At 41.1% G+C, this 20,458-nt stretch overlaps 1 protein-coding gene across 15 annotated transcripts in view; it reads left to right on the top strand.

The window, feature by feature from the left end:
• Positions 1-20,458, top strand: part of PPARGC1A (PPARG coactivator 1 alpha) — a 680,885-nt gene that overhangs the window by 365,076 nt on the left and 295,351 nt on the right. For 7 of the 15 annotated variants that reach the window (NR_148982.2, NR_148985.2, NM_001354827.2 and 4 more), the window contains one exon: positions 16,195-16,362. The exons of the other annotated variants lie outside the window; for them this stretch is intronic. Coding sequence is in view for 5 of the 7 variants with exons in the window: in NM_001354827.2 (NP_001341756.1) it covers positions 16,294-16,362 (69 nt within the window). In the remaining 2 variants the exon portion in view is untranslated. Of the gene's footprint in view, positions 1-16,194; positions 16,363-20,458 lie in introns of those variants that run through there. 15 annotated transcript variants of the gene reach the window in all.

Here is a 20,458-nt window from a genome sequence, read left to right as displayed (position 1 = left end):
GATCCTATAGCAAAGGCTTGAAGCCAATCATCCTTCTAAATGATAGCTTTGATTACTTCACTCCCTCTCTCAGAAGTCCTCCATGGCTCCCTATTGCCTGCAGAACCAACTGTACACACTACAACTGATATTCAAGGCCCTTCATAATCTATCCAGTATTAAGCTTTCCTTCTAACCTTAAATTTTGTGACTGACCTAGATTATTGTCTGAACATGCTCTACACTTCCAAATTGTGTTTTTGAAGCTGAGAAGGTCTACTTATAGCTGGGGAAAAAATAAGGCTGGTAGTAAAGAAGATGTGAAAGAGAAAAGACTATTTCATCTGGACCTGGTAAGGTGAGTCAGATCGAAAATAATAGGGATGACAGAAAGAAACTGACATACCCACTGCCATTCATTAAGAGTCTTGGAGTATGTGTCTTTGTCAACCCTACTAGACGGAAGTCATTTGAGATCAGGGATCAATGTGTTATTCATCTTCAGAGCTACTATTGTACCCAACTCACAACTCGGTTCATTATAATCTTCAACAAATGAATGCACAAAAGAAGAAATGATTGACTCAATTTGAAGTCTAGAAAACTTTAAAAAGTTACACAAGTGAATACAGTATATTAATTAACAGATTCAACCATTTGCAAAATGAAAAGTAATATAGCAATGTGCTTTTATTATCCAATTTCCTAATGTGTTTTTGTGTTTATAAATGATGCAATTATGCTATTACAATGTATTTGTGTTCATTAATAATTTTGAACAGAGGAAAACCAATGCCCTGTTGGAAGTATTTGTATACCTGGCCTTTTTATCATGGCTTTTCCAGAGGAAGCTATATCAGTTATTTTTTGCCAAATAATGCTATATCACAAAGCACTCTAAAACTTAATGGCTTGAAGCAACCACCATTTATTATTGCTCATGATCTAAGGGTTTTCTGTGCAGTTCTGCTGCTAGGCCAGGCTCTGCTGATCTCAGCTGGGCTCACTCTTGCATCTGAGCCAGCTGGTGGGTCAGCTGGGGGCTGGCAGGTCATGTGAGCAAGGATGCCCTTGGCTTTGCTTTAAGACTATTGACCGAAGCAAGGGACAAGGCACTTTTGCCACAGTCTATTGGCTAAAGCAAGGGACAAGGCAGCTGAGATTCAAAGGGTGGGGAAACCAACTAAACTACCTCATATGGTGGGAGTCATTGCAGAGTCACATGGCAAAGGAAATAGATACAGGGAGGGACAGAGAATCGGGGACTTCTTTGTAATCAGTCTGCCATAGAAGATCTACATGCCTCTTTAGTTTCTCTTGAGATTAAGAAGGAAACTAGGGACGATTCTTGAAAGACCCTGGGCTTCCTTTTTCTGTTGAGGCTCAAGTTGCTACTTGAAGGTGCTCAAAGTGTTGCCATTCGACCTGCCCCTGAATCAGGTTCAATTCTTTAAAACCTAATTTCATATTCTGTCCTTTTCATGCCCTCTTCATTTCTTATCTTCTAGCCCAGGAAATGATAGATCAGTTGATTGTTGCCTTTGTGTCTATAATGAGTATAGAAGAAAAAAAGACTGGGAAATTCATAAGAAACAGATACATGGAGAAACTTAAAGGAGGCATCTTTCGGTTTGCCTCTTTCTGGGCTTGCTTTATTAAAGGCAAAATCTGGAAGAAAATAAAGTCTGCGGGCATCTTTTTTTGGCTTGGGCAGGATCTAACTAGGTGTGTGAGGGCATCCGGGGGCGGGGAAACGAATGGAAGTGCTGATCTGGGATATTGGAAGGCACCAGAAAGAAGGGACTGATCAATAGCTATTTTTCAACTGCGTAGCATAATTTGTGTCAGGCTGCTGAAATGAGTTAGTGCTTCATAGTTAATGGCTGTGAGCACATTCCTTTATTGCAGCACTCTCCAAAATGTTTGCCGTCAACAATTCTAAAAGGCTGTGAGTGACTCACAGCCAAAGTGAGTAATGCACTGGAACTTCGTGAGCTGGGGCCTCTTCTCCGAAAACCTTCCCCTTGGACACCATGTCTCTGTATTTACATCTCCGGCTTGGCTGCTCCTCAAATCATCTAGTCTTCTTGCCATCTTGTTTGGATATCACTCTTCTTTCAAGCCTCTCTTCCTTTATTTGGGGATTTCCTGGTTCCACCACTCAACCCTTTCTTAGGCTCTACACAAACACCATTCGCTTATTATATAAGGGTGGTCCATGGACGAGTAACATAGGCATCATGGAGGAGCTTATGAGAATGCAGAGTTCTGGGCACGACTCCAGACATACTGAATCAGAGTCTGCATTGAAACAAGATACCCAGAAGATCTGTGTGAACAGGAAGATTTGAGAAACACTGGACTATTTCATAAACATTGATTTTCGCCCCTGCTATTTCCATTCCCTCACTTTTAACGTCCTCAGGCCCTTTTATCTCTTACCTTAGGTTGGAAAATACCTCCCCCTAGCTTTTCACCAGTGATCCTAAAGTGTGATGAGCTGCCAAGTCAAGGATTGAAATAAAGTCCCATTAGAAGGTTTGCTTTTTCAAGGTTGTGTATTTGCTTGGGTCATTGGAAACTGGTGGTGGCTGTTTTCTTCCTCTGTAACGTGGGATAAACCATGAAGAAGTCTGAAAATTACACAATTCTATAAGCAAAGTCCACACTATCTTACCTTCACTGTGCTCTAGTGTTAATCAAGCCTTTCTGCCAGAAGAATGGGTGTTGTGTGTGACTCGAGGCATATTAGAAACATGTTCCAATGTAAATAGCTCCCACATGAGTGAGTTACACCCATTCATTGAGTGCTCACCTTGAACCACGTGCCATACATGGGCGTTGCATGTTCACACTGTGATTTAATATGCACATCAGCCCAGTGAAGTATGATCCCCATTTTCCAGATGATGAAATTGAGGCTCAGGGAAGGGAAGTAAATTGCCCAAAGTTACACAGCTGGTGAACTGCAGTATTTGAAAGAGGCTACATTTTTAAGTACCGTGTGATTTCTCCATCTGCAGATTCCTTTCTTTAGCTGTAAAAGGCTTTTTCCTCAGGGTTTACTGGGCATATATTTTTGGGGAGAGGCGTTGCACCAAGCTAATTGTTGACCTTCTTCCACATCTCGTCACAGGTATACAAACAGCCCCATTCCTGCTTTTGTCTTTATTGTCTGATTCACATGCTTCCTCCAGTTTGATGTTCCTTCTGATTGCTTCCAATGAGATGTCAGCTCTCTCTCTGAATTGTGTTGCCCACAGTCCTCTGGAAGCTCTACTTCCTTGTGGAATTACCACTCTAACAAGGACGGTCCATCCTTTGCTTCCCTCTTCTCCCTTTGCTTTGCCTGGCACTGTGCCTGGCAGATCACAAATAACACGTATTTGTTCAGTGAATTGAATCTGAGCTGATTTCTCTCTGACAGGGACCTTGGGAGTGTCAGAGCCCAAGTGGGGGAAAGGTTGTTGACAGAGGAGAATTTTCCACACAGCCTATTTCACACTTTTTACCAAGGACCTGCACAGATCTCTCTTAAAATACAGTCCACAAAGCACTGAAGCTGCAAGAAGGATGAGTAGGAGATAAAGTATGTGATAAACCCCTATAGCCACCCGGGCCTGGCCTCCACGAAGAGGGCGCCCACTCTACTGTTAAGGAGCTTTTGCTGCTTAAACATCTCACTAGCGGAACTCAACTAGGAAGAAAGCAGAAAACATGTAAAACTTCCTCTTGGAAAGCTATTCTGTCTTTGATTTTTCAGAATGTCTTCAAGTGATTTGAGTCTATTTTTAATACCTGTGAGACATGATGTTGTGAGGAGAGCTAAATATAGGGGCCACATCCCCCTTTCTTTTATTCATCGGCCTTAATCTTCCTAGGAGGAAAAGAAAATGCACACGATGTTTCACCACGGAGTGGTGACGTTTGGCCTGACGGGCCCGGCTGAAAGGAAATTCATAAATACTGTGTTGGAAATAAAGATAATGAATGGATGCTTTTTGGAGAAAACGTTAAGTGGGAGTTTATTTATGTTAAACCTCCCCTGTCTGCTGAAGACTGCGAGATAGTTCCTCTTGTTTTCCTCGGGGTCCTTTGGGGACAGCAGTCAGCCTGTGTTACTAGAGTAGGCTTCAGCACCCTACCAACAGCCTCCAGAAGAGCAGGACACTCAGCCAAAAATAACACACAGCATCAAAGCGGCAGCTATAATTCCGGTTCATTTTATACTGACGAGGCTTTTTTTTTTTTTTTTGGAAGAAGGCATTAAGCGCATCTTAAAAGCAAAACAACTTTGTGAGTACTCATTGGACCAGAAGGAGAGACTAGTGCTTCTTGCAGCAGCTGTGAGCCCGAGGGCTCTGTGTTGGAGGGCTCTGCTCTCTGTCCTGGGTGCTCTTTCGTGCTTTTCTGTATCCTACACACCTTCAGGCTCCACATTTCCATTCGTTTTGGGTGGATCTCTATATTATCAGCATCTGGGATATGGGTTGCAGAAGTCCCTGAAGTGAGTCTTTAATCTGGTGCCAGGTGCGGATACCACCTTGAGTCTTTTGTTGAGGAGCTGATTGAGAAGGGAAGGCAGTTGAGAGTGTGGCTAATGGAGAGGGCTCTGGAACTACCCACTCGGCCAAGGCTTCCCCCTTTCAAAGCCATGAAAAGTTTTGGAACTTAATTCTACTTTTCCATGCTTCGGTGTCCTCATCTGCAAAATGGGAATGATGGTGATATCATGCAGAATTGTTTTAAACATTGAAGCGCATGGGGTGTTGCAGCTGGTCAACATTTTTGAGCCTCTGAGCTTATCATTGCAACAAACAGTGAGGCCAGGGCAATTTCTGGCAAGGTGGCATGATTTCAAGCCCCTGGTTTGATATGTTTACTATGGTTTAACAACCATCTCCAGGGCAGACTTGGCTTAATTTGGTTTCTAAATCTGTTCACACTCCTGATTCGCAGTGTTGTTTTCAGTGGGATGGCAGCCTCGGCTTTAGCTGGGAAGTTGTATCTACAAGTGTTGTATCTGTGCTCCATGTGGGCTGCCTTCTGGAGAAGAGGCCTCCCACTCTTTGCCTCCCTGCCGTTCCTCTATAAATAAAAGCAGCCCACAATCCCTGCCAGGAAGATGGAACCTCAACTGGAAGTATTTGAGGATGTCTTCCAATGAGGTGGAAATCAAAAGTTCCCGGATAGCACTCTTTCTGCCCAAGTCCAAGAAATACAATCCCCACCCACTCCGTAAGCCTTCTAAAAGAAGATGTAGTTTTGCATCTCTTTGCTGTTAAATGCAATTCGGAAAGACTTAACATGTCAGCTGCTCTGGGATTGTCCTACCTCCAAAGGGGACCCTGGAAGAAACAGGGCCTCAGGAGCTATTAGATCAGAAGGACCCTTGTCCCCAAATTTCTCTGTTCATACAAATCAGTGACTGAAGTCTAGATGAGGAGAGTTTATTAGCCTGTGTGGACATCAGTGTTGTGTATTAGTCTGTGTGGACATCACTGTTGTGTAGGTATCCATGGATATTTGGATTTGGAAATGAGCCTGAAAAAAAAGAAAGGAATCTATAGTTTAGGGTACCATGAATTGTTCCCTGTCCTGTGGTCTGTACTGAAGTGAAACATTTTAGAAACTATTGTATTTTAAATACCACCATGATACTCTTGTTTTAGTGGCACCCACTGAAGGTGGGACAGGGTCTCCATGCTGCTCTTCTCCAACGACACTGTGACAAGAATGGTGATTATTGGAGCTGAAGCTATGTTGGGGCAGGGGGTTGGGATTGGATGGATCCCTGGGGTCGTGCAGCCATATTCTCCTGCCCAGAGAGCTGATCTTACTTGCAGCTGTAATGGTTGCTTATCTGTCTTTCCCTCTCACAAGACCATGAGGGCGTGGATGTGTTTTTCTCATCTCTCAATCGTTAGTTCTCACAAGACCATGAGGGCGTGGATGTGTTTTTCTCATCTCTCAATCGTTAGTACCTAGCACCATTCTTAGCACACAGTAGGTATTTAATTTGTGCTTTTCGAATCCATGAACGTATTCTGGGACAAAAACAAAATGATGTAAAAACATGACTTTGCATCTGTTTACTCATGAAGAAAGACATTTATATTGATTTCTATTACAGCACTGGGTGTATCTATGATGTCAGTTTCAGACTTGGAAACACATTTGAATTTGAATTCTGAAATCCAGTTTGGTCTGTTTATAAATTTACATTTTTCTTAAAAAATGGATACCTTATAATTTTACATATGTATGGGGTACGTGTGATATTTTGTTACATGCGTACAATGTGTAAAGATAAAAGCAGGGTAATTAGGGTAACTGTTACTTCAAATATTTATCATTTCTTCATGTGGAGAACATTTCTGATAGGCACACTTAAAATCTGAAATAAAGTTATATTAGTCCATTCTTGCATTGCTATAAAGAAATACCTGAGACTTGGTTATTTATACAGAAAAGAGGTTTAATTGGCTCACAGTTCTGCAGACTGTACAGGAAGCATGGCTGGTGAGACCTCAGGAAACGTACAATCATGGCAGAAGGCGCAGGAGAAGCAGGCACCTTTTTCATGTGGCTGGAGCAGGAAGAAAGGGGTTGAAGGTGATACATACTTTTAAACAACCAGATCTCGTGAGAACTCTATTACAAGACAGCACTAGGGGGATGGTGCTAATCCATTAGAAACCACTTCCGTGTTCCAATCACCTCCCACCAGGCCCCACCTCCAACAGTGGAGATTACAATTCGATATGAGATTTGGGTGCAGATGCAGATCCAAACCCTATCAAAAGTAAATTAAATAAATCATAGAATTTGTCTTTCTACTCTTACCACCTCCTCCCTGAAAGTGTTAAGCAAATGCATGCTCAGTTTTATGGATGTTAGGTTAATACATGGTCTGCACCTGTAAATTGTAGTTTATTTGTTGTAGAACCTTAAAAAATTATGGCTGTTTAGACAGAAGCTAGAAAGTATGAATTCAGCTCTTATTTTGCAGTTCCCGTCATAATGCTTTCCTGGGAAGAAAAAAATGAACAGCCATGTTACTCGCAAGCGGCCTTACCTGTAAATTATATATTTTTTTGTGGTTTTATGCCAGACCCTTGATATTGCTTTAACCTGGTTTTCATAGTTTAATTTATTTTAGTTGGTAAAGATTATTCATCACTCATTTAATTCCAAGGTTATCTATTGATTCTTTTCTCCTCATTTGGTATTTTCTGACATTTTGTGGCACTCAATATTGATTTATACAAAATCAGTCATCTGAACGTCCAGAGGCGGCGTCATGCACTTGTCATCAGCTGTTTTTCTGAACTATTAAGTGGAATAGCCACGTATGTCGAAGGTGTTGGGTGATTTAAGGGCTGGAGTCCTGCCATTTGCACCTACTGGATCATGCCTCTAAAAATCCTTGCAGAATTTTGAAAAATGAGATCCCTGAGAAAGTTCTCCAGAGGTAGTGACAAGCAGTTTCTTGGTAGGGTGCTAAATTCTTCCCCATAATGTGGATCAGTCATTCTGTTCCAAATCCAACCTAAGCCTGTGCTCTAGGTTAAAAATAAAGAAATAAAGCTTCATATGCCAATAGACCTTCAAGGTAAGTGTCCGTAGCCCATTGCTTCTTAAACTTAATGAATCAGCCTTGTTAAAATGAAAATAAAATACTGTAGGTCTGGAGTGGGGCCTGAGATTCTGCTTTATATATATATTAATTATACTTTAAGTTCTAGGATACATGTGCACAACATGCAGGTTTGTTACATATGTACACATGTGCCATGTTGGTGTGCTGCACCCATTAACTCATCATTTACATTAGGTATATCTCCTAGTGCTATCCCTCCCCCCTCCCCCCACCCCACAACAGGCCCCCGGTGTGTGATGTTCCCCTTCCTGTGCCCAAGTGTTCTCATTGTTCATTTCTAACAAGCTCCTAAGTGATGCTGGTCTGTACCTCTTTGAGTAACGCAGCCTTAGCTCACCTTCCAAATTGCCTTCTTAATTCTCTCCCATTTTGAAATTCTTGCACCCTGTCTGAGGTTCCCCTTACATTAGGATGTTGGTATTACGAGTAAATGGAGAGGGAAGAAACATCCCACATCCCCTCCCCAACTTACATTTTACAACAGCCACAAGAACCTAGTTATGTTACAAGTACGTAAACCAATTGGATAGTTTCTAATAATCTGCAATCAAAAGAATTTGGTCATTTCTAAAGTCCCAACTTTCCAGAACCTTTAAATTCATATTTTGTAAATCAATTTGTGCCTAGGGGAGTTTAGCAATCCCCCGGCTCCTCTCATCTAGCCATGTGTAAGGCTCCTTTCATCCCATCCGTGCTCCTTGCCTGGCTGCAGAGAGTCCTGCTCTCCAAGCTGAACTGGAAAATAACTTGTAACACAATGTCAGAAGATAAAGCTTCAGGCTACCCCTCCTAGGAGTGTTTGAATTTCATAGACAATGACAGAAAAGGTTTTAAAATCAAAAGATATGGCAGGTGGGATTTTTAGACTGCTGGGGGTCTTTTTTTTTTTTTTTTTTTTTTGCAGGAGGGAGAGAATGAGGGGAAGAAGTTTCCAGCTTCCCTCAAATATATCGTATAGCCCTTTTGTTTTTCATTCAATCTAGTCATTAGATCTGCATTCCCACTCTACTCATTAGTTTTTGATTATTTCTGGGGGCTTATGACTTCAGATAGTCTTTAAAGGAAACTTTAAAGACAGTATTCTGTAATTTATCTCTGCTGGGATTAACATTTGCTAAGGCAATACCCTGTGTCTCTGGGCTCTCTTGATGCCCAGCATATCACAAAGTCAGGAACAGGATATAAACATACTGGAAAGGCCAGTATTAGTTTTATACTGAATTGGGAAGGATGATGTATTGAATGTCTTCACCTGGTTGGACTTATATTTGATTCTTTGCAAATCAGTGACAGATTCATATGTACAGAAAAATTGAGGTTCTCATCTATATGTTGTTTTTTATTACATTATTTTGCTTCGGGCACAAACATGTCAAAGTAATTTAGACACTGTGGATGAAGTCATCTGATTTCCATTAATAAATGTCTACTAAATCCTTCTGATCACAGTCAGTTGGTATTATTACACAGTTATAGAAAGACATAGTAATGCCATGCAGTAATTAATTGGCATCTACATGGCTCAGATTCATACAAAATATAATGTTTGTAGTGACAGCCAGGTTATTTCTCACTTAAGCGATATAAGTACACTTAAGTATTGAAATGGATTCTGTTTCTTGGTTTGAATATTTGGGTCTTTTGCTTTCTATCTCTGTTCATTTTGAGTAGGTTAAGAAAAAGTCCTTCCTGGTTTATTATGTTCTTTTTTGTAATAGAAGCTTTCTTATTCCATACAACTGAAAATGGTAGTTCACTGGTTAATCACATAAATTGATTAAATTGGGAAATCATAAATGATATGCAGACACAAAACATTTGACTTTTGCTTAAAACATATAAATGCACATGTATTTGCCACTATTTTGCTGTGGAGCCAAGGCCTTTTCTCTAAATATGGATCCACAAAGAGAAATTCTGAAGTTTTTCCCATGTAAGCCATAGCCTTAAAGTAACTCTACAAATTTCAGTTTTAGTTTCTCTAAAGTGAATCAAGAATTTAAAGACAATGTCCAACAACCTGAGTACAGAATCTGTATAGGTTTTTAGGATTCCTGGCCCTCCAATAACAACTTTTTGAAGAGTAACTTTTCTTTCCAAATCATTTGACTTGTTTCATGAAAACAGCAACTTTTTTCTATCCAAACTCATATTTTATAGATATAGTTATTTAATTGAATTATGTAATTATATTAACAGGCATAATTGTCAATAACAGGACCGGGACAAATGCAAATGAATCTTGGTAAGCCTACAAGTCAGTACGTGGGAGCCAAGAGACACAAGTAGACCAGAAAGTCTTCACTCCACCAGCCACAGGTGTTCAATTGGCCATAAAACCATGGGTGTCACTGCAGTTCAGGTTAGGTATTTTACAGAGAGAATGGTGAGCATCACTGTTCCAGGGCAGCAGTGAACTGGAAGCCAGTACTCTATTTCCCTACCTTCTGAAATACAATGACTACAGTGCTGGAATTCATAGTCTTCTGATTTATCACTCTTAGGACAGAAATGTTTTTGGATCTATTTGTTTTATTATAGAGTTAATATATAGCCACCTCCAGTAGTGTGGGTTTGATACATGATTAGAATTTGTTGGTGAAGCAAATTTCTGAAGGTAAATACCTTGCTATTAGCATCTAATGAAAAAAAACCACCTAAAAACCAAAAACAGAAGTAAAATCTATGGGAAAACATACCCTATTCATGTCTAGGAAAATTTCATTGAGGTGAAGTTAAAGTGGAAATGTATAACGTGGGCAGTAGGGACTCATAAAAATTCTATCATAGCTGTTAAGTGCAAGTGTGTACAAAATCCCATGGGTAGGTGAAAGATCATCCATTTCTTCCATGCCTGGGGACTCCTTGGCTCGGAACTTAATTTTCTCAATATCCTCCTGCTCCCTTCACCCCAGACTTTTTTGTTTTCTCCTCTAGATTGAATATTTGCATCTAACAGAGCAGGGTAAAGTACCATCTTTTACCAGCATTTAGCATTGTGGCATGCATGTTTTAATTTACCTGGAAAACTATTTTTTAGTTGCTCGATTCTTACAATGCGGTCTTAACCACCTTCCCTCCCTTCCCCATTGTTGAGACAGGGTCTCACTCTGTCGCCCAGGCTGGAGCGCCGTGGCACCATCATAGCTTACTGTGACCTCAAATTCTTAGGCTCAAGCAATCCTCCCACATCAGCCTCCCAAAGCACTGGGATTATAGGAGTGAGTCACTGTGCCTGGCTTAACCCATTTTTATTCTATAAGCTAAAGGAATTTATCCTAAATCAGGGAGGACTGACTGATGCACTTTGTATAGGTTTTTCGTATATATATAACTTTTTCATAAAGAAAATGTTACAAATTCTAAAACTCTATTTCTTATTAGTCAGCATATTCTTAATATGCTGCTTATCTGGAGGGAAAAACAGTGGGTAAGGAAAAGGTTTTCCATTACTTTTTGGCATCAATTTGACATTAAATTTCATATGGTACCAGCAGCTAAACTGCATGACTGCAGGCCCACACTCCTGACGTACTGAAAGTGTGTTGTTTATTCTGAGGCAAGAAATGGTAGAGTAAAAGTTTTTGTAAGGTACCTAGTTTACTCTACTTAAATATTACATTCTTGCCATGACTTTTACTTTATTTCAAAATTTATTTTATTTTTTAATTCAGCTAGAGCTGTGGTAACAAAGTACTACAAAGTGGATGGTGTTGACAACAGAAATGTATTGTCTCACAGTTCTAGAGGCTGGAAGTCCAAGATCATGGTTTGTTGACCGAGTTGATTCCTTCCAAGGGATCTGAGAGAGAATCTATTTCATGCCTTGTATTAGTCCATTCTTACACTGCTATAAAGAACTAACTGAGACTGGGTAATTTATGAAGAAAAGAGGTTTAATTGACTCTCAGTTATGCAGGCTTAACAGAAAGCATTGCTAGGAGGCCCCAGGAAATTTATAATCATGGTGGAAGGCCAAGGGGAAGCAAGCGCCTTCTTCGCATGGTGGCGGAAGAGAGAGAGAGAAAGCGAAGAGGGAAGTGCCACACACTTTTAAACCATCAGATCTCATGAGAACCCACTAACCTGAGAACAGCAAGGGGAAAATCCACCTCCATGATCCAATCACCTCCTACCAGGCCCCTCCTCCAATTCAAGTGAGATTTGGGTGGGGACACAAATCCAAACCATATCATGCCTGCTATGGTTTGAATAGATCCTTTCCAAAATTCAGTCGTGGTTAACATGATAGTACTAAGAGGTGAGGCCTTTAAGAGGTGATGAGGCTGCCGTGAGGGCTTCTCCCTTGTGAATGTGATTAAGTCCCTCATAGAAGTGGCTTCACACAGTTCAGTCACTTGCCCTTTTGCCAAATGACCACACAGCATTCCTACCCTCCAGAGAAGCAGCCCTCACCAGACAATTGGACCTGCCAGTGCCTTGGTTTTGGATATCCCAGCCTCCAGAATGGCGAGAAATAAGTTTCTGTTCTTCATAAATTACTGAGACTGAGGTATTCTGTTACAGCAGCACAAGTGGACTAGGACACTGCCTCTCTCCTAGGTTCTGGTGGTTGCTGGAAATCCATGGCTTGTAGATGCATCACCCTGAATCTGTCCTTACCCTCATATGGCCTTCTCCCTGTCTACATCTGTCTCTGTGACCCAATTTTCCCCTTTTTATAAGGACATCAATCATATTGGATTAAAGCCCACCCTAATGACCTCATTTCAGTTTTATTCCCTTTGTAAAGACTCTATCTCTGGCCGGGTGTGGTGGCTTATGCCTGCAATCTGCAATCTCAGCACTTTGGGAGGCTGAGGCGGGCAGATCACTTGAGGTCAGGAGTTCGAGACCTGCCTGAGCAACATGGTGAAACCCTGCCTTTGCTAAAAATACAAAAATTAGCCGGCATGGTAGTGTGTGCCTGTAGTCCCAGCTACTCGGGAGGCTGAGGCAGGAGAATTGCTTGAACCCGGGAGGCACAGGTTGCAGTGAGCCAGGATCGTGCCACTGCACTCCAGCCTGGGTGACAGAGTGAGACTCTGTCTCAGAAAAAAAAAAAAAAAAAAGACCCTATTTCTAAATAAGGGTCACATTCTAAAGTAATGGGGGTTAGGACTCCCACATACATTTAGTTATTAGCACTTGCATTTGAAAATACTTTAAAAAAAGAATCTCCCAGCAGTGTCCTCGAGCAAGCTCAAGTTTGTGTGGTGTTAAGAAGCACAAGAGCTTGAAATAAAAGACTTAGAGTTCTTGAAATGTCAGTGTCGTGGTTTGGCCAGAGTCATTATACATACTTTCCTTGATGTTTATTTTTATAGTTTCTCCTTCATTTAATTAAAACATCCAACAAAGAAGAAAAAAACCTATTCTTTTTTTTTTAGTGCTTGATTTAAGAACAGTGAATAAAAGCTATGCTGTTTAATAAGCTCCTGTATTAATGTATGTTCTCATTATGTTTACAATTTGGAGACACGTACTTTGTTTTATCAGCATTGAATTCATATAGAGCTACATTTATTATTTGATGCTTCACTTTGCTTTCATTAATTTCCTTGCTAAGTGATCGGTAGCATGGAAGTCATGCTATTCTGAGTTTGGATTCTGAGATGAAGGCACACTGCATTGTTGAATGCTTTGCTCTTTCTTTTTAAAATTCATATTTCTGCATCATCTTTAGAAACTGAGACACTTAATGCAGTATCTTATGAACAGGAAAAATCAAGACTGGAAAAGGAAGAGAAAATAGTGAAGTGTGAGAGTCTGGGTAGAACAGACTGGGCCTGTAATGGAAGCTATTTAAAATAATATTGCAGGACTACCCAATGCCTGGGATCTATGTTCTAGCTAGATTTTTTAAATTTAATTTTCAGAACAACTCTGAATTGGAAAGTGTATTGCTCTGGATAGGCTAGCTTATGTTTTAACAAATAACACTGGAAGCTTATTTCTTGTTCACATAATGCCTGTTGTTGGTCCAGGTGACTGTCCAAGGCACCTGTTCTCCTTGAGAACAGGCTCGGCATTCCTGTCTGCCTCTGTGTTAAGGCATGACTTAGCAACACACGCATCTGCAGTCACCGCAATAGAGAAAGAGCGGGCTGAGAATCAAGTGCCTGTTATTGAAGCCTCCCCCACCCTGGGAATTAATACCCACCCTCTTACATTTCCTTGGACAAAAAAGGGCATGTGGTTATGCTGGATTTTAAGGGAGTTAGGGAAATGCTATCTTGCTGTGGGCTTGGAAGCAGAGGGGAACTAGATACTGGTGGACAATAATGTGCCTGAGACTATAACGCATACTTCCCCTTTACACACATGGAAACCAGGTCTCAGAGAAGATGAGTAACCTGCCCAGGGACACAGAGTTAGAAAATAATGGAGCTGATAATCAAATCTAAGTCTGACTTCAAAGACTATGCTTCGAACCACTCGTGTGCTGCCTTCCATAAGAACAGATATAACTACATTGCAGATGATGCAATTCAAATGATAAAACTAATTGCTCCCAGTTGTCCTTATGGGATGCTGTTGATAAGGATTTAGGGAAATGGGGTAAGAACCATATGACTGGTGAGGCTTCCATTGAGACTAGTCTCTGGGGAAATTTTCTGGAAACTTGGTCTTCTGGCCTTTCTCTCTTACACCTCAGAAGAACCTCTGAGAAGCATCTGTATATTCTCAGTAAAAGGGAGGAACTGGGCAAGTAAAGGGTTTTGCATGTGTCTGTTTTACTAGAGATGAGGTGGAAGGTATAGTCTTGTGATTACTAAAAGGATAATAATGGCAAGTTAGGTTTGTATGACAGTTTACAGCCTACAAAGCATGTTCCTATATAATCTTCAGATAAGAACAAACTTAAGTGTCACAATTGACCGAGGTGCTGTATTAATGAGGTATGATTGTCAAAACAGCCAGTGGGATCTGAGACTGCATCAGTGAAAGAGTATCGAGTAGCATTGAGTAGACCTTGGAGTTATAGCTGAACTAACTCTTGGCCTCATCACCAAGGCAAATGTCTTCATCTCTTTTGGATTCTTTATCTGTAAATCAGGAGCATAATAATAACCTCATAGAATGTTTGTAAAGGGTAAGCTAGACAAGGTTAGTAAAGCACTCAGCACAGCATCGGACACCTAGGTCCATGCTCAGTAACTGTTAGTTGCTCTTATTATGATGATTATGGTTGATATTGTGGCAATTTTTCAAACAAGGCATGTGATTGTTTGGCTGTGTGTGCAATAATAGATCATAGCAAGAATATTATGATCGCTTCTGCGAGCACGGGAATTTGTAGAATACATTTCGAGGCTGGCAACCAGAATGGAGAAGTGACCTGAAACCATCTTACATTTTCTGAAGAACCTAACAATATTTAATCTGGAAATTAGACACTTTAGTAGAAGTTTGGGAGCATGGGGCACCACTATATTTGCATCTCTGAAGGGTTGTTCTGTAGAATGGGCTTTAGTCTCATTCCTTCTGGAATTAAGAAGCAGTACATCCATGGGTAGAAGTTGCAGGGAGAAGGATATCAATTCATTTTGGGACAAAAATTACCAGCCATGGAACAGGACTGTCTTGGGAGGTAGTGAATTTACCGTATTAAGTGATATAGGCAGGGCCATGTGGATTCAGGTATCAGATGAGTGATTACATCAGAGAAATTTGAAATGATACTCTGCACCGAGTTTTGTGATTCTAATCCTGGGTGCATCTGGAGAGCATTAAAAAAATTCCCAATGTCTTGGGTCCTAGTTTAGACCAATTAGATAAGAATCTCTAGGGGTGAAGGGCAATTCTTAGTATCAGGAGACAGCATCATTCTGCATGTGAAGTGCTAGTGAAGCATTGACTGGGTTTGAGTTCTAAAGTTTGAGGAGTTCATTCAAACCGAAGCCTCTGATCATTTCGTATACTGATTTAGAAAAGGGGTTGAGGCCTACGGTGGGATTGAAATGCCTGCCTGCAGAACATCTTATGGGGGAAGGGGAGGGACTCTAGATGCTCAGAATTCAACTATGGGAATGAGTCTATTTTCACCCAAAGGAGCTTGCTATTATTCATGTTCACTGGCTGCTGAGTGATTCATACGCTGCTTTTTGGGGGAGATGTATTCAAATGAAATGTGTTGCTACTATGTAAAATAGTTTATTTCTTCTAGGATACACCAGCCCACTGATGCAACCTGGCAGAACAATGCAAATTCTGGTGTGTGTGTGAGCATATGTGTGTGTGTGTGTGTGTGTGTGTATTGGGGCAAGGAGAAGACGGGAGCACACATAGAAATGCATATTTCTCAAGCATAGAGCAAGCCTGCACACTTCCCTCTTCTGACCTTTACACCACAAGCATAAGAATGACCCATTGTCCACCGGCCCTGGAGCTTGGTTGTTCCTAATCTCTGGACGCTTGATGGCTGAGCTGGCCTTCAGCTTGGCCAGTTGGCATCTGTCTGGGTAGCCCCATGTGTCCCAAATTTGTTCCCCGGTGGGTTCTTCCTGCCCGATCCCTCATCCTCTGGCATGGCATTTTCTCCATGACAGTCTGCCCCTGGACTGCCCTGGCTGCTGCTTTGGTAAAAGCTTGCAAGGAGAGAGAGTAACAGCCGCTGGCGAATCCAGTTTGTGCAAGCAGCATCAGCAATGGATGAGACCTCCCCAAGGCTGGAAGAAGACTGGAAAAAAGTACTTCAGCGAGAAGCAGGCTGGCAGGTAAGTGATGTCCTCAGCTCCACACAGGACCCAAATCTCTCTCAACTCTTTTGGCTCCAAGTCTAGGTAATATGCGTACATCAATTTGTGGAACTGTGCTATCTGCAAGCACGTCCTTTTGAAAAAAGTCATGGGTAGTGTCCACGTCTTTGCAAACCATGCAAGTAAGACCCCAAATACATTTACTCTAGATTGTCAAGCAAGCTAATAGGGCTTTACAAATCTATAGGTGTTGCTAAATTTATGCTTTCTTAATAAAGTTTCTTGAATTAACAAGTTGCAGGTGTATATCAAGGGAAACATGCAGATTTGGTTTGTGTGAGTATAAGTTCATTGCGATATAAAAATTTAATACAACACCTGTCATCAGACTTACTTTATGGTGTTATGGTAGCTTAGAATAGGGGCTTGGTTTTAACCTATTTTTAATGAGGTGACCATTCTTTTAATGCAGCTTGCGTGCCTTCCTTATTTATGCTGAACTCATAATAGGTAGAAGCTCTGTGGTATGCAGAGAGTTCAAGCTAAAGGATTCATTTTGGTGTAGAAGCAGTTTTCATTAAAATGTGCAAAGCAGTAATGTTTATACGTTACAATACCTATTTCAAATTAGCAAAATTATATGCTCCTGTCTCGTAAGCTGCCAGCTGAAATCCCTTCCTAAATCCTGTTGAATGGCTTGGATTACTCTTCTTCACATTACACATTACACACCTCTAATGCATATTTTTACGCATCCACTGCGTTGCCATTTAATTAGACAACAATATTGAAGACTGATGCCAGAGCTTTTTTTCTGTTTCTTTTTTAATAATGCTGCTGGCGTATGGAAAAAAGAACACTTCTGTGTATGAAGCATTTCTTAGGGATGATGTTGGATAAAGTGAAACTCTGATTTTCCATTTTGTCTATAGCAGAAACTTTCATATAAAAATGGTAATTCAGAATGAGTTGATTTTTAATGTCAATTAAAAAAATTCTTTTATAAAAAGAAGGAGCCTTTTCTGAAGATTTCTTCTTCAACAGAAATTTTAGTGAAATATAATACTGGTATTGACTGGTATGTTTTGTTGTATGCAATGTGATGTTAAGTAAGGAGCTTCAGAAAAAAACACCCTCTAGCCTGCCATGAAATTGGAATCCTTTCACTTTGAGTGGGAGCATTATTCAGGAAGTAGAAAAGGATACAAAATAAATCTCTGCATGCTACTTTCAGGATGACATGTGGTGGGTCTCCAGGGGTCCAAACAGATATTCAAATATTTTATGGTATGTTAATGTGACTTTTGGATTTTTGTCTTTCGTTTGCATGTTTTCCTTTAGAAAGTTGTCATTTTATATAGTCTTTATTTCAAAGGAGAGTGAAGGGAGGAAGACTGTGAGGAGATGACTCAGACATCTCTGTGGATAAAATGTTTAAACTAGAAACATGAAGTCCAAATGTTTATGTAAAAATGCATGTGTCATATCACTGTCAGCATCCCGTGACCCTTTAGCTTATTAATTTACCAAAAGGCTTCTAATGAAAATATTGCCTGTGCTGTTTGCTTCCAAAGATGTGATCCTGTACAGCTGATCGACCCCTGTCATTTCCATTGTGATAGCTGGAGCTCCCCCTTCTAGCTAGTGGAGGTAGTGGTTAGAAAAAAGGCGTCCTAGGCCGCGCACGGTGGCTCACGCCTGTAATCCCAGCACTTTGGGAGGCCGAGGCAGGCAGATTGAGGTCAGGAGATCGAGACCATCCTGGCTAACACGGTGAAACCCCGTCTCTACCAAAAATACAAAAAAAATTAGCCGGGCGTGGCGGCGGGCGCCTGTAGTCCCAGCTACTCGGGAGGCTGAGACACGAGAATGGCGTGAACCCGGGAGGCGGAGCTTGCAGTGAGCCGAGATCGCGCCACTGCACTCCAGCCTGGGTGATAGAGCAAGACTCCGTCTCAAAAAAAAAAAAAAGAAAGAAAAGAAAAGAAAAGAAAAGAAAAGAAAAAGGCATCCTAGTCTAGTCTCTGATTTGGTTTCACTGACTCTTGGCATTGGGTGGAAAGTATGTCATAGGGTGTCAGCTACAGCATCATCTGCTTCTGTACCTCTTGAACATCCCCAAGAGGTCTGCCTGCTGCCCCCATTCATTTGTATCGCTAGGCTGGGTCCCCATAAGCCTGGAGTCACCTACTTCAGTTGACACCAAGGCTGTCCCTAAGGGAGGAAACTAAATCTGATGGCCTCAGATGCAAGGCCTTTGTGGCGAGGGTGACTTCTTTTGGCCATCCATGGTAGTAATGCAGCTGAGGAAGTAAAGATTGTTTAAGAATGAATTGTGATGGATGCTGAAGCTTTAGTTTAGCTGAGTACTATATTTCTTACTGGAACTGATTCAGTACTTTTCTACTTACCTACTATTTTCCCACCATAGTGCTAGGAGTTGTATGTGTGTGAGAGAGTGAACAAACACACATACACACATATTTCAATCCTTGTCAGAAGTCTAGAAGGTAGATATGATTATCCCCATTTTACAGATGTAAATAGCAAGGCTCAGAGAGGTTACATAACCTGCCCAAAGCCATTCAGGGTCTCAGTTCATGCCTGTTTGACTCCAATGCCTATCCTATTCCCACTTTTGTTGCTATGCCATCTGAATTAAATTTTATCTCATTATTTATCCCATGGAATAATAACTTACAAGCAGCTGTGATGTGGGCAGGCAGTAAGAAAGGGAAAAAGCATGATGATCTTCTAATGAAATAATCAATCTCTGAATCATTAAGACTTTAATAAAATGTTTTTTAATAGTTTATTTTTTTAACCCTTACTCTATGCCAGACACTAAACTAAACTTATAATTCTTACAAGTACTCTGGCAGACAGATATTATTTATTTATTTTGTACCAATAGGGAAACAGAGGCAAAGTGGTGTTAAGGAACATGCCCACAGTCACATAGTCACAATGGGGATATGGACCCATTTGGCTTGACCTTGAAACCTGTACCCGCCTTATGACAAGGCTGCTTCTCAGAGTATATTTTCTTTGTTTCCTCCTCTTCTTCTTCTGCTTCCTTTTTTCCTTCTTCTTTCTTCCTTCTTCCTTCTTCTTTCTTTTTTTTTAGATAGCATCTCCCTCTGTCCTCTGTCTCCCAGGCTGGAGTGCAGTGACACAATCATGGCTCACTGCAGCCTCTACCTCCTGGGCTCAAGTGATCCTCCCACTTCAGCCTCCTGAGTAGTTGGGACTACAGGTGTACACCTCACATCTGGCTAATTTTTAAAGTCTTTTATTTGTTGTATATTGGGATCTCTCTATGTTGCCTCGACTAATCTTGAACTCCTGGGCTCAAGTGATCCTCTTGCCTCGGCCTCCCAAAATGCTGGGATTACAGGTGTGAACCACCACACCTGGCCTCAGAGTATATTTTCACATTATATTTTATCATTCATACTTTAACTCTTTCATCTCACAATAATGTGATGGGATTGCTCTTTGAAAACTTCCCCGAAAGGATTTTCTTTTTTTAATAAGTCAAGAGTTGGGCAAAATGCCTTGCTCACTCACTTCTACAGAATGTATTTTAATTGGATGCTGTTTGCCTTAAGTGAACCAGCTTTTACTTATGGAGTTGGAAATGAACTAGATGCAATTTCTAGAATCAACTGTAAATCTGAAAATCCATTTAAGCATATAACCATCCTGGAAAACCAACAGCAGCTGTAGCACAGTTAATGCCCCTGTCCCCCATAGCCCACTTCAGCTCTGGGAGAGCACTCAGGGACAGAGATGGCAGTGGCTTATGCCACCAGGGAGCTGTATGACCATGGGCAAACTTAGCCTGATCACTGGCTTCTTCACTTGTAAACCGAGGTGATTACGCTTGCATGAGGACTTGGAGGGAAGATGGGATGTATCCTTCGTGACACGTCATTGTTTTGGCCAGTTGTTAGATTGAAGATATTATGGAGGGGCCAAGGACTCATGTCTGGATAATGATTTATAATAGGATGGTTTCCTTTAAAACAACCCATGTCACCACACTGTGGCCATTTTGAACTGGTCTAGAAATACTGTCTATCTGTGCCTGTCTCCCCACAAGAAGATGAAC

This window comes from Homo sapiens, chromosome 4 (assembly GCF_000001405.40).
Source record: "Homo sapiens chromosome 4, GRCh38.p14 Primary Assembly".
NCBI classification, from domain to species: Eukaryota; Metazoa; Chordata; class Mammalia; order Primates; family Hominidae; genus Homo; species Homo sapiens.
The sequence above is the reverse complement of the archived record's forward strand: the minus strand, read 5'-3'. Positions and strand labels throughout refer to the sequence as shown.